Source organism: Homo sapiens, chromosome 1 (assembly GCF_000001405.40).
Source record: "Homo sapiens chromosome 1, GRCh38.p14 Primary Assembly".
Classification (NCBI taxonomy): domain Eukaryota; kingdom Metazoa; phylum Chordata; class Mammalia; order Primates; family Hominidae; genus Homo; species Homo sapiens.
In genome coordinates this window covers 196,326,214-196,340,741 of record NC_000001.11, presented here as the reverse complement: position 1 = coordinate 196,340,741, position 14,528 = coordinate 196,326,214, and the positions used below count along the sequence as shown (strand labels likewise).

General features: G+C 34.2%; 1 protein-coding gene across 15 annotated transcripts in view; it reads left to right on the top strand.

Moving 5' to 3' along the window:
• The window catches only part of KCNT2 (potassium sodium-activated channel subfamily T member 2), a 382,662-nt gene that overhangs the window by 267,699 nt on the left and 100,435 nt on the right, over positions 1-14,528 (top strand). For all 15 annotated transcript variants that reach the window (NR_146057.2, NR_146058.2, XR_001737149.3 and 12 more), the window contains 4 exons: positions 172-401; positions 6,682-6,895; positions 9,481-9,586; positions 13,853-14,025. Coding sequence is in view for 11 of the 15 variants with exons in the window: in NM_001287820.3 (NP_001274749.1) it covers positions 172-401; positions 6,682-6,895; positions 9,481-9,586; positions 13,853-14,025 (723 nt within the window). In the remaining 4 variants the exon portion in view is untranslated. The remainder of the gene's footprint in view (positions 1-171; positions 402-6,681; positions 6,896-9,480; positions 9,587-13,852; positions 14,026-14,528) is intronic.

Here is a 14,528-nt window from a genome sequence, read left to right as displayed (position 1 = left end):
ATTGGTTTTACAACACACTAAGCACATAGTTTATTTTCCTGTAAAAATGAGGATCTTGAACTTCTAGGATCATTTCAAGCTTTAAAATGCTATTATTTAAAGCTTTTATTTTCCTCAGCCTTACAATAATTTACTAATTTTCTTACAAACTCTCTTTTTTTTTAAATTAAGGTTTGGCGTCTGCTTGATTGGTGTTAGGAGGGAGGATAATAAAAACATTTTGCTGAATCCAGGTCCTCGATACATTATGAATTCTACAGACATATGCTTTTATATTAATATTACCAAAGAAGAGAATTCAGCATTTAAAAACCAAGACCAGCAGAGAAAAAGCAATGTGTCCAGGTCGTTTTATCATGGACCTTCCAGATTACCTGTACATAGCATAATTGCCAGCATGGGTAAGTATAAACAAATTTGAAATATCATTAATTTATTTCTAAAATAAAAAATAATGATAAATACCAATGCATTTAAATTTTTATTAAAAGTTTAAAGAAAATTTCAAACATGCTGCATTTTACAAACTAGGTATGACTAGGTATACAGGACAACAGTTCTAAGTTGTGAATTTTTTAAAAAGTAAGATATTAGCCTACTGTGGTGGCATATGTCTATAATACTACCTATTCCAGAGGCTGAGGTGGAAGAATTGCTTGAGCCAGGAGTTTGAGAACAGCCTGGGCAACAGAAAAAGACTCTGTGTCCAAAAAAACCTCAATCTAAGATATTACAAAAACACAATCAACAATCATTTTATATTTCTCATTATATATAAAGCACCACACACTTTTATATTTCTTTTGTAAGTTCTCTTTGTAATTATCATCAAGAGAGGCTATTTCAAATATTCTTCATTTTCTCAAAATTCTCTTTCCATCTCTTACCTCACTCTCACCACTGAACTTGGCTTCTATGACACAGAAGAAGAAAGGTAAAAGAAAAAATACCTCCATGCAAATAAGAATTTCTTTACGGTTTGGCCTCCAAACCATCTACAAACCTACAAACATTTAGTATCTGTCACAAGGAAAATGTGTCATTTTTAACTAATACTGATACATTCATTTATTCCAGGAACCATGCCCTTGTTCCTCCTCAGAGACTTTACTCTTTAATCCCTCCTCATTACCTAACTTCATTTTCTATTCAGAATCACTGGCTGATCTCTCTCTCTCTGTGTCTCTGTCTCTCTCTCTCTCTCTCTCTCTCTCTCTCTCTGTGTGTGTGTGTGTCTCTTCATATCTCTGTGTGCACCATACACTTGTAATTTTGAACCTTCCATGATAACAACTTCAGAGACAAATTTCTCCAAAGTGTTGTGTTTAGTGGCAGGCTTTAAATTTTATTGTTGTCCTATGTCCATGATTCTACCCAGTTCAATCTGACACCTGCAGTCATATCACTGAAACTATTCAGGCAAGGTCACCATGTTCCTCTTTGTCACTACATCTAAAATGATTGTCTTCACAGTATATGACAAGAATATTGACCATGTTCTTCCTGAAACACTCTAATGCCTTTTTTTCTGCTTTGTGCACATTCATTTTCATTGTGTGGTCACTTCTGTTCTCATGGATTCTATTGTCCGTAAACTGATTATTCCTCTGTCTAAAGCATTAACTCAACATCTCTTTACAGCAACGCGAACTGTCTACTAGTTATTTCTGTTTGAGTATTTTGTGGGAAAAACTGGCACAGCATATTCAAATTAAACTGATCCTTACACTCTCATTCAGTCATTCAACACCGTTTTTCTCCTTCTCCTTTTTTTTTTTTTTTTTTTTTTTTTTGCTAAAAAGCAGATGACACCATTATCCTTTGATCTGTAAGGCCACCATTCTGACTTTTCACCACCCGCTCTTCTCATACCTCATCATTAACCAAATTCTATTAAATCTGGTCAGTAAATAGCCCCTAGAATCATTCAGTTTTTTTCCATGTCCACCACCAACATCATCGTGGTCTGTGCCTCCATCCTTCTCTCCCTGAACTGCAGGATCAACAACCTTGTCTTTTTTCCATGCCTCCAGCCTTGCCACTCTACACTTAATTCTCCATCCTGCCACCAGAGTAAAAATTTTTAAATATAATTTTGATAGCATCATTTCCTGAACAAATCACCTGCTTTATACTACCCATTGGAAAAAAAAGTCTAAATTCTGTAGTGTGACTTAACTTATAAATAGGATAACCAAAAGTTCTTGTTTGCATTAGGCAATCCTAGTTTTCTTAGGAATGTTCCAGTTTCTTAGGATTGTTCAGTTTATATAATTGTCCTGATGTAATTATTAAAAGAACCCCCTTTTACTCTGCAGTATCCTAGTTTAGAAAATAAATTACTTCATCATTTTCTTTATAGGCTTTTTATTAGTGATATTTTCTGACTTTTCTAGCTCCACATTTTACCACCTCTTTGCTGCTCTCCTGAGCTCCAAACATACTCACTTTCTTTCAATCTTCACTAATATATTTTTTTCACCAATGGGCCTTAAAACATTAAGTTTCCTCTGATGGAACTATTCCTCACACCCCAACATTCCCTAAGTAATGACTTCTAATTCTTTATATCTTAGTCAAAATATCACTCCCTCCAAACACTATTCCATGGTTTTACCTAGACCTTCTTAGGTAATCCTATTTGTCATTTACTTATTTTTATTCTACAGTAGCAATATTCATTTTTAATGTCTTCAAAAAGTACTTATTGTGTGCCTAATATGTACCCAAAATAGTATTTATTGAGTACCTAATATGTACCAAGAACTCTCGTGTAAGTGTTTGTGATAAAACGTTAGTGAAGAAACAAAGATCCCTAGTTCATAGAGCTTGCATTCTATTATGGAGAAGACAGGCGATAACCAAAGTACATATAAAAAAATAAGTAAATTACTTAATATGCTAGTGGGTTATAAGTTATAAAGGAAAAACTAAAAGAAGAAAACAGAGCTAGTATAGGAGATAATTAATTTTTGGGAGGAGCAGATTTTAAATGAAGTGCTTAGTAGGCCAGAAAGTGATGTTTGAGCAGATACCTGAAAGAAATGAGGAATTAGTCCTGTGGAGGTCTGGAGAAAGAGATAACAGCTGGTACAAAGGCCCTAAAGTGGGAGCCTGGCTGGGGTTCTCCAGGAACAGTAACAGGGCCCTTTGTGCCTCAAACACAGTGAATGCTGGAAGAATAGTAGGAGATGAGGACGAACAGGTAGAAAGAGGCCAGATCCTGTTGGGCTTATTTAAGTCCATATGGGATTGCAGCTTCTACTCTCAGTGAAGTGGGAATTATTGCAAGGCTTTATGCAGAGCCATTGACCTGATCTCACCTATGCTGAGTGCTCAACTCAGGCTGCTGTTGAACATAGATGGTTTGGAGCAAGGATCAGACTATTTTCAAGTGGAAGTGGTAAGAAGGAGAAAATTCTGCATGTACTTTGAGGATAATCAGGATTCCTTACAAAATGAAATTGAACTGTGAGAAAAAGAGAAGTGTGAAGAAACATAAGGTTTTCGGATTAAGCAACTAGGGAAAGAGAATGGCCATAAATTTAGAGGAAAGGCTAGGGGGAATGCAGGTTTTGCGGGGGTGAAGGGAAGATAAAGAGTATTTTGGAACACCTTGAAGATGTCTAACAGGAAGTTGTATGTAAGAGTCTAGATTTCAGGAGAGAGAGAGAGATAGGCTGAAAAAGTAAATTTTGTATTTCTGATCTTATGTATATATTTAAAGCCATAAGACCAAATGAAGTCTTTGAGGAAATGAGTACAGGCAGGAAAAAATAAAAGACAAAGCTCTGCAGTATACTAAGATTAAGTATCAGGGGGATGAGAAGAAACCAGCAAAGGAGACCAAAGAGGAGCTACTGGCAGGCTAGTAGGAAAACCCAATGAGTGAGGTGTCCTGGAATCCAAGTGAGCTAAGTGCATTAAGACAACACCATGTAAAGCCATGTCTGATAGGTCATGGCTGAAAGCCAAGTACTGATAGGTCGTAACATAAGGACTGAGAAGTGTCAATTGACTTTAGCAATGCAATGATCATTGTTCACCCTCATAAGAGCTGTTTCAATGGAGTGGTGGTGGACAATGCTAGATTGGACTACGTTTGGGAAAGAATGGTAGAAGATAAATTAGAAACAGTAGGTCTGGACAGTTCTTAAAACGTCTGACTGCAAAACGGAGAAAAGAAATGGATTTGTAGCTTGTGTTGAAAGTACAAGCAAGTAAGGAAGGCAGAGAGATTGAGGGTTTGTATAATAGATTGTATATAATTATAGGCCATGGAACTTAATTTAAGTAAGGAAGTGAAAAGATGTATTTTGGTTAGAAAAGACTGAAAGGAGAGTGGATTAATCGATTCTAATTCCAGTGAAAATCAAGAGGGAAAGAGCTGGAAAGCCAAGGTACAGGTGTCAAAGAGTGAGATGCCAGAAGGAGAGATGATGTGCAGCAAGTAATAATTACAAAAGCTAAGGTGTGGCCATGAGAGTGAAGGACTGAAGAGTGATAGTAGAAAAAGCCATTACTAGAGAAGAGGACAAGGAGTTGAGTCTGGAATGTTGGAAGGATCATCTATGTGTATGGTGAAACTGCCAAAAATCAGGACAGACAATGTGGAGAGACTATTAATGATGCAAGAGCTAAACTGTCTGGGTGTATTCAGTTGCATAGGTATAGATATGGGGAACATGGAGAGTTTAACTTAAGCAGGGTTCTATTTTGTCAAGAGGGTGGAATGAAGCAAAAATGTATCAAGGGATCCAGGGGTATATGCAAGAAAATAATCATAATGCTTAAACATGGAATTTAAGATAGTTAAGAAGAGAAGAGAGAGCATCAAGGGAATGAGAGAGACAAACTCTGGTATCATCAGTAGAATTGAAGTTCCAGCATGGTAAAATCATAGCTAGTGTTAGGAAATCAGTGAGAGTGACCTGAACAAACAAGAAATAGTGGTGATCAAAGGGTGAATGCATAAAAATGTGTGCAACATTGTTTTTATTGGTTATAACAAGGTCTAAAAAATCACTATGGAAGTGAAGGGCTGAGATAAGGTAAAAATTTCTTCAGTTCATGTTATTATAATGAGGAAGAAGCTTGGAAGGCCAGAGGTTTGAGGAAAGTAGAATTTTAAATAGTCATGCGCTGCATAAATTCAGTCAATGATGGATAGCATATACAATGGTGGTCCCAATAAGATTGTAATACCATGTTTTTACTGTATGTTTTCTATATTGAGATTACCATTGTGTTAGAATTGACTACACCAATCAGTACAGTAACATGCTGTACAGATTTGTAGTCTAGGAGCAGTAGGCTATACCATATAGCCTAGGGGCAGTAGGCTATACCTATACCATATAGCAGTAGGCTATACCATATAGCCTATGTACCATATAGCCTAGGATAGTAGGCTACCTCATCTAGGTTTGTGTAAGTATGATGTTTGAATATCTAAGAAATCACCAAATGGTAGATTTCTCAGAACATATCCCCCTTTTTAAGCAATGCATGACTGTAATTGTTTCAAAGAATGGGACAAAGCAAAGACTAGCAACTTTTAGAAGGATGACCAGGTGCCACTGAGTACATAAATGAAATAAGTAATTATGAAATATGATGCCTTTCATCGTTATTTTCTCCAGAAGGAGAGGAACCTCAATTTTTCATAAATAGATATTAAAATTAATTTTTACATTTCAATAAAATTCACAAAGGGAATTGCTTCTTCTGCCTTCTATTCCTTGAATGCCTCAAGTATTCAATAACCTTAAGCCACTTGGGCTTGGGCTTGCCATTCTTACTGCCTCCAGGTACTTCCATGACTTGTGTGCTCCTTATTGTATTTCAGGTCAAAAATCGAATGTCCTAACTTCACAGTGGCCTTCTCTCCTATCAAATAAAAATTCCATTCCTCTCCCTGCATGCTACTGATTATTGTCTACAATTATCCATTTATTTGTCTACTTGCTACATACAGGTTTCATCTTGTAGAAACTTTGTTTGTCTTCTCTACAGATCTCAAGTACCTGGAACAGTGCTCCCCATATGTGGCACTCAATAAATATTCATTTAATACAAAATAAGTATAACATATTAGTAGTTCCGATATTTTAAAAAGTGGTCATAAATCAATTACAAAAAGATAGCTCAATAGAAAAGGGGGCGCTTGAACCTGGGAGGAGGAGTTTGCAGTGAGCCGAGATTGTGCCACTGCACTCCAGCCTGGAGCGAGACTCTGTCTTAAAAAAAAAAAAGAAAGAAAGAAAGAAATAAAAGAAAAAGCAAAGAGGGGAAACACATAATGAAAAATTCACAAAATGGACATGGTCAACAACAAAAGAATAAATTTTAAATAAATATAAATTGAAACATCAGGGTATACTTTTTCACTTTAAGTTTCTATATACTTCAGGATTTTACAAATCTTATGTTTTGTGCCATAGAACAACACTCTGCAAATACACTTTTGTGCAAATAGAGATTTTCTTGTCCAGGAAAATGCCTGTGTGCAAAAGAAATATTTAGCTATCAGAACTAAACTTATACACCACACGCATAAATATATACTCTCTCTATATATATATTTATTGTGTTTATTATATTTCATATTTCATGTAACCTTCAACACTAGTGATCAATATGGCAAACGCCTTGATAAATTTTCATGTTTTATTGTTTTAGGTACTGTGGCTATAGACTTGCAAGATACAAGCTGTAGATCAGCAAGTGGCCCTACCCTGTCTCTTCCTACAGAGGGAAGCAAAGAAATAAGAAGACCTAGCATTGCTCCTGTTTTAGAGGTTGCAGATACATCATCGATTCAAACATGTGATCTTCTAAGTGACCAATCAGAAGATGAAACTACACCAGATGAAGAAATGTCTTCAAACTTAGAGTATGTTCAGATACTCTAAGGTGTAAGATTACTGGGTTTTGTGCTAATGTCCTTAAGTATTTTCTTTACATACCTTCCCAATAGGTAAGGAGCTAATGATCTTTCCTTCTGAACATCCTAGAATCATTCCTATATACTTCTACCAAAACGCACTGCTAGTAGCCAGTATCTCTTTTGACTGCAGAGCATTATAAGCCCTCAAGTTTCTGGCTTCAACATATATTTCCAGTCTCATTTTGCTCTTAATTATCTTTTATCCTCAAGGAAAAAAAAATCAGTGTTCCCAAGATATAAGCTTCATTTTCATAATTGTATGGTTTTTATAGTATATTGTACTTTATACTTTGAATTTACTTTATTGCACATCCATATTGAAGTTCAATCAATTATTCAATGAAATGAAAACACAGCCCCTTCCATTAAGCTTTCCTTACTTATCTCAGTGTTCAGCACTTTCATACACTATTCATTAATTATTTTAAATGTATGAATAAAAGGAGTACTGTTTCCCTTTTCTAGGCTTCCATAATAATAGAACGCCAATCTATATAGTATTAATCACATTGTAGCTTGCAGTAGAGTTTGTTTGCATGTCTTATTCCACATATTAAATTGTCATTCTTCAGGAAAACACAGCAGTCCACAGGCTTGACTGTGGAGTACTAAGGACATTGCTTGCCATGCCAGTTCCACTTTATATTGGTTGTGTACAAGTGACTTTAATTAAACAAACAAACAAAAAAAAAAAAAAACTTGCAGCTGGGCACAGTGGCTCACACTTGTAATCCCAGCACTTTGGAAGGCCGAGATGGCAGGATCATTTGAGGTCAGGAGTTTGAGACAAGCCTGACCAACGTGGTGTGGCTGGTCTCAAACTTTACTAAAAATATAAAAATTAGCTAGGAGTGGTGGTGCGCGCCTGCAATCCTACCTACTTGGAAGGCTGAGACAGGAGAATCACTTGAACGCAGGAGGTGGAGGTTGCAGTAAGCTAAGATCCTGCCACTGCAGTCCAGCCAGGGCGACAGAGTGAGACTCTGTCTTAAAAAAAAAAAAAAAAACTAGCCAATAATTTATTTACCTGTAAACTGAGTGTAATTACTACTTCAGAAAGCTATTAGTGATTAATTGAGATAATGGAGAAAAAGTGTTTATACAAAAACAATGTTTTGTGTAGAGTAAGCGTTCAATTAGTATTAATTACTATTAGTCATATTACGGGTAGTAGTGGCATTGGCAGCATAATCTCTGACATTTCTTCCAGTGTCTTTCATAAAATGTAAATTCAAGTAATGTTGAACTAAGAAGAACTTCAGTGTCATTGAAGCTTGAAAATATTCTTTGTTTAAATTTCTCACACTTAAAAAAATACTGTAAGAAAGGTTGGTGTACCCACAAAACCAAATCTACTCTTCAAAGACATTAATGGTCAAAGTCCTCAAATGTATTTGGAATCTAGGATGGGAACAGGGATAGGTTTGGCAACCAGTGTCTTCACAGGAAACAGTGTTTTGGAGTGCGACTGAAATTCTTTCTTTACACTTCTTAAAAAATTGAGAGGTAAAAGATTTTTTCTTATTTCTAGAAAAACGAAAGAGATGTTGAGTAATTGTAGAGATTACCAACTTCTAAATTTACAAAATTTTACCCTATAATTTTATCTCTTAGCCAACGAACTTTATTTCCTGAAAATGCTGATTTGCATCTCTTCTTTAAGATAAAATAGTTTTAACTAGGTCAGAAATTTTATGGCTTAGCAGGTAAATTTGTTAAAATCAAACACTTTCTTATTGGATAAAGGAATATTATTTTCACTAAATTTTATTTTATTGCCTAATTTTCATTTATGCTGCTACGTTTTAGAAGTTTCATTCTGAAAGTCAGTATAGCCGAAATATGCTGTTGGCTGTTTTTTAAAAGTCAGCAAGCTAAATTCTCTGATAATGTTTTAAGTATGATTACAACAAAAACTATGTTTTTAACCAATTAGCTCAGTTATTTGTTCCATTTCGGTTATGTAGTTATGGCTAATGAATATTGATAGAGCAAATCATAATAATGCATTTTGCCTTAAATGTATTTTGTAAAAATTACCATTACTATTTATTTTTTAAAAATGAAAATCTTCTAAGCTGTGAGTTAACAAACTTTTTATAAATAGGAACAACCAGTAAATATTTCAGGCTTTTTGACCCCTGTTGCAACTACTAACTCTGTTACCAAAGCACAAAAACACCTATACACAATACATACATGAATGAGTGTGGCTGAATTATAATAAAGCTTTATTTATAGATACTGAAATTTGAACTTCGTATAATTTTCGCATGACATGAAATACTAGTTTGATTTTTTCCAACCATTTTAAAATGCAGAAACAACCCTTTCAAAACCATGTGGAGGGCCATATTTGATCCTGGGGCCACAGTTTGCCTACCTCTCTTCTTAACTACCTCTTTATCAAAATATAATTGCAACACAGAGGTATTGATTATAATGTTATTAAAACAGAGGAACATGGTCGTAACTTAATTTCTCAAATTTGCATGCCTTATCCAAGGGTAATATTTTGTATTATTTTACAGGTATGCTAAAGGTTACCCACCTTATTCTCCATATATAGGAAGTTCACCCACTTTTTGTCATCTCCTTCATGAAAAAGTACCATTTTGCTGCTTAAGATTAGACAAGGTAAGTACTTGTTGATGCTTTTTTGTTTACAAAATAAAATTATAGCATTTTATAGTTACATAATTTAAGTAATTTGTACAGCATTTTGATTACAATATGTTTAAGGGGTATTGGTATTATCTTTTCCAATGTAAATTTATATAAAGTGGTCAGTTTTACATTTTTAACTGCACAAATGATTACCCAAATGCTTTAGTCTTCTACCATATTAGCCTACTGGATCTGCTAGTCATGTTGTTAAAGAGAAAAATAAGGTACCAAATCTCATCCCTATGAACCCTCAACAACCAAAGTCTCCAAAAATCACTTGGGTCAAATGTGCATTATTTATTTTAACATTATTACTTTATATCTCATTATGGAATCCCTTGACATGATGGGAAGAGTAAGTCCATGTGTTAGACACAAAGATTCATTTATGACTAAAGTGAAAGCTCATATTAGAGTCTTGCCTAATATTTCCTTTCTCAAAATTTTACTGTCATTCTTGGATGTCCAAGAGAAGCTGTCCAAAAGATAAAAATTCTAAGAATGCTAGAGTTTTTATCTTTTTTCACAATATAACCATTGGGCTTGACTGGTATGAATTTATTCTCTTGAAGAATAACAAAACTGATAAAAGGAAGAACCTTATATTTACTGCCCCTGGAGATTCAGATCTGCCACTAATTCTAGCTAGGGATTTTTTCTTTTACATTAAGTTTTGAAGTTACAGTTAAAAATCTCAGCTCTCCACTTACAAGTCATGTAATTTGGGCAACTAACTTCACCAAGTTTCAGTTTCCTCATCCTTAAAGTGGATATTATTTTAATATGAACCTCATAAGGCTCTTACAGGGATTATATAATTTAGTGCATGTTTAATGAAGTGCAAGAAAGTTAATAACTGAGTTGGTGCTTAATATATTCTTGCTATTATTTTTATATGACAAATATTATAAATTTTGACTATTACTGTCACTCTTGAGGAAGAAGATTTACAGAACATTAGAAAATTCCTGCCTTTGTTTCCCTGAAGTTGCTTTGAGAATCTTTGCCATTACTCTGAAATATTCATCTGGGCCCATTGAGATGGATGATTCTGACCCTCAAGACCAAATATATATATATTGCTTTCATTCAAATGAGATTCTGTCCCTCAAGACTGAATATATATATTGGTCTCATTCAAATATATATATATATATATATATATATATATATATGTCTTGAGGAACAGAATTATCCATTTCAATGGGCCCAGATGAATACACACACACACACACACACACACACATATAAGTGTATATATACACATATATACATATATGTACATAAATACATATATACATATATATACCTATATGCACATATATTTACATATATACACATATATATGTGTATATATATGCGGTCCTTATTATTTTAATATTATGAAGCACTTGATATTTCTGGCAAGCTATGTATTTTCAGTAACATTAATAAATCCTAAATTTCAAGGCCCTTCCCCCACATTGACTCCTTTTAAGACTAATATTATTTATAATATTGTTGTTATTTTCTTTATGGATAAATCTTAAAATAATATATGCTTCAGTCACCACAAAACCTGGATTCACTTCTGGTTTTTATTTCTTTAAATGCACAGTTAAAGTAGAAAAAAATATTAGGAGACAAAAAAGTGGAAATAATTTATCTCCAAACAGAGATCCCAATCTAACTGAAAAGCTAAACTTTCAGAGAACAGGATTGATGGAGGCACAATAAGAGGATATTTTAATATCAAAGGACTATTAACTGTCTCTTTACCATATTAATGAAGCAAAATTTCTGGGTGTTGCTGATTGTCTAGTGATACCTGGAATTATTGGTTATTTAGGTAGCATTAGACTGATAGAAGGTGGTCTGCTATGTAAATGAGCACCCACTTTGGGATTTTAGGAACAGTATGGGATTATGCAGCTGACTCTACTGTGTCTGTGAAGTGTGTGAGTTGGGATTGCCTTATCCAATTTATTCTGTGTCAGTATCAGTGGGGCTGGTGTCCTGGTCAGTGTTCATGAACACTAAATTCTCTGTTCTCTGCTCTTTGTTTCCCTATTAATTGAGCTATTTCTAAATCTCCTTAGGGAAAGTTATTTTTTCCTTTATTTATCTTATAAATATTGACATTCTTGATGATCCAAACATCAGCTCAACACTATTCTTGTTGCATGCATGATCTCTTTCTGAGTGACTTTATTTCTTATATTACTTCAGATTCTGTTTATAATTCTCCAAGCACCCTTTCAATAAAGACTTGTTGCCCTTGTTTGTTACCATTTCCTTTGTTCTCTATTCTTTCTTATACCTTAGAATTTCCTTCTGGATTCATTTTCCTGTTTCCTAGATTACCACCTTTAGAAATTCTGTTAAGGAGATTCTATTGGTGGAGAATCCTTTTAATTATGGTTTCCTTTTATTTTGGTCTCATTCTTGAAAGATGGTTTACTTTGTGTGCAAGTCCAGGCTGTTAATTTAGTTTTCTGGTTTTTTTTTTTTTTCTTTTAGCACTTTAAGGACTGTACTTACTGCCTTCTGTGCTCCAAATAATGGCTGAAAAGTCAGCTACCATTCCAATTGTTTTTTCTTGTAGATGTGGCTCTTTTCTCTGTGTCTGCTTTAAGATCTTCTCATTTGATTTTTCATCACATCTCAAAAACTCTCAGCCAATATTTACTTGAATAAGTTTTCTTTCTGATTCTCTCTTAGCTCTTTTTCAGATATTCTGATTAAATAAATGTTAGATATTCTCACGATAGCTTCCAAGTCTTAATTTTTTCACCCTAGGTTCTGTTTTTTTTCTTCTCTGCCTTTCATTTTAGTTTCTGTATTCCATTCTGTCCCGCACGTGATCCCTTTGGCTGAATCTTAAGTGTAATTTAAATAATCTTTTGAGTTACACTCTTTACTTCAAGAAGATACAGAGAAATAGATTTAGGTATTATTTTTAATATCTACCTGCTAGATGTTATTTTACATAGCCTCTTGTTCTTTTCTCAGGCTTTAAATACTTTCTTTCTTTTATTTAAACATGTTAAATGTGCTCATTTTATATTCTGAATTTAATCACAAAATTCGTAGTCTTTGTGGGTCTAGTTATCTTGTTATGATTATTTCTGTTTACTCATGGTGCTTTGTTTTCAGCAGTGTTTTGTAATTTTTTTATTCAAGAATAATGGCAAAGAATATTCCAGAGGTGTCCGAGCATGGTGGCTCGTGCCTGTAATCCCAGCATTTGGGGAGGCTGAGGTGGGTGGATTGCTTGAGCCCAGGACCCCGTATCTACAAAAATACAAAAACATTAGTCGAGCATGCTGGTGCCCACCTGTAGTCCCAGCTACTCGGGAGGCTGAGGTGGGAGAATCACCTGAGACTGGAAATTTGAGGTTTCAGTGAGCGATGATTGCACCACTGCACTCCAGCCTGGGCGGCAGGAGTGAGGCCCTGTCTCAAAAAAAAAAAAAAAGATCAGAATATTCCAGAGGTGATAAATGTTCCAGACAACTAACTAATCTCAACCCACATAAATAAGAAATGAACATAAAGACATATAAAGGTAAAATAGCAGAACATCAAAACAGTTCTCCGTGCAGATAATTTATCTGAAAATAATATTGGGTTAACAACGCTAATTCTGTCAAATTCTAGACTCCATGAAATAGCAAAATGCCCTTAGCCCAACGATGAGTTTTGGTAATGCTTTGTTCTTGTTTTTGTTGGTATTATTGGGTATTTTACTTTAGAGTATTTGAATCATTATCGTGCCAGCTCAAATATGCATGTAGACAGTTAGGGGTTTTTTGTTTTTTGGTTTTTTTTTTCACTGTTTTATTTTCTTCATCGCTTTAAGCATTCAGTACTGGGAATGTTCCTGAAGTTACCTAATTATGATATTACTATATTTCTGGAAATGAAAGTCAGAGAAAATTAATTTGTAAAAGTGTATACCTGGATGTCTTCTAGCAGCAAACTTTAGTTTACAATAGAACAAGCACACACACAAAATGTTGGCTCTTTCAACATCAAGCTACAAACCTGCAATTCATTTTCCTTGTCCATGCACACTTTTATTTCTTACTGCAGGTTGCAGAAATGGGCACAGAAAAATGTAACTATTTTCAAATTTATTAGAAAATAAGGATTTACATTGTTCAATTAATTTTACATTTTCCTATAGCTTAAATTTTCTCCAAATTTTAATGAAGTATCCAAATGGCATTTCAATGTATACTTTCTCTTCTCTAGAGTTGCCAACATAACTACTATGAGGATGCAAAAGCCTATGGATTCAAAAATAAACTAATTATAGTTGCAGCTGAAACAGCTGGAAATGGATTATATAACTTTATTGTTCCTCTCAGGGCATATTATAGACCAAAGAAAGAACTTAATCCCATAGTACTGCTATTGGATAACCCGTAAGTATATTTTAAGATACACAAACAAGATAAACTGTTTTTAATAGTATGTTAATGTATATCAAAAATAATTGCCTGTAATATTCTGGTAGTATTTTAAATCAGATACATTATGGTACATGATTCATTGGGAGATATATTCTGTGCTGTGATACAAAATATATCATTGAATATGATTATATTCATAAATACTACTTAAAACTGGGATATTCTGAGAATTTTATTTAAAACTGTTTTGCAAGTGGTCATCTACTCATAATACCACAGGAAATAGGCCACTGAAATAATTACTGCAATTTTCCTTAAATTAATCAACTAGCCTGACAAATCTCTGCCAAAACTGGACAATTTTTTTTTTGTCTTTCTAAAGAACCATTAATTATCAGAGAAGCATTTACTGATCCATTTTTATATGTTATAACACAAAGCATCATCAGAGGTTATTATGACTGGACCACTGTTAAACCATACATTCTATGACATAATAGAAGTAATGCTTTACC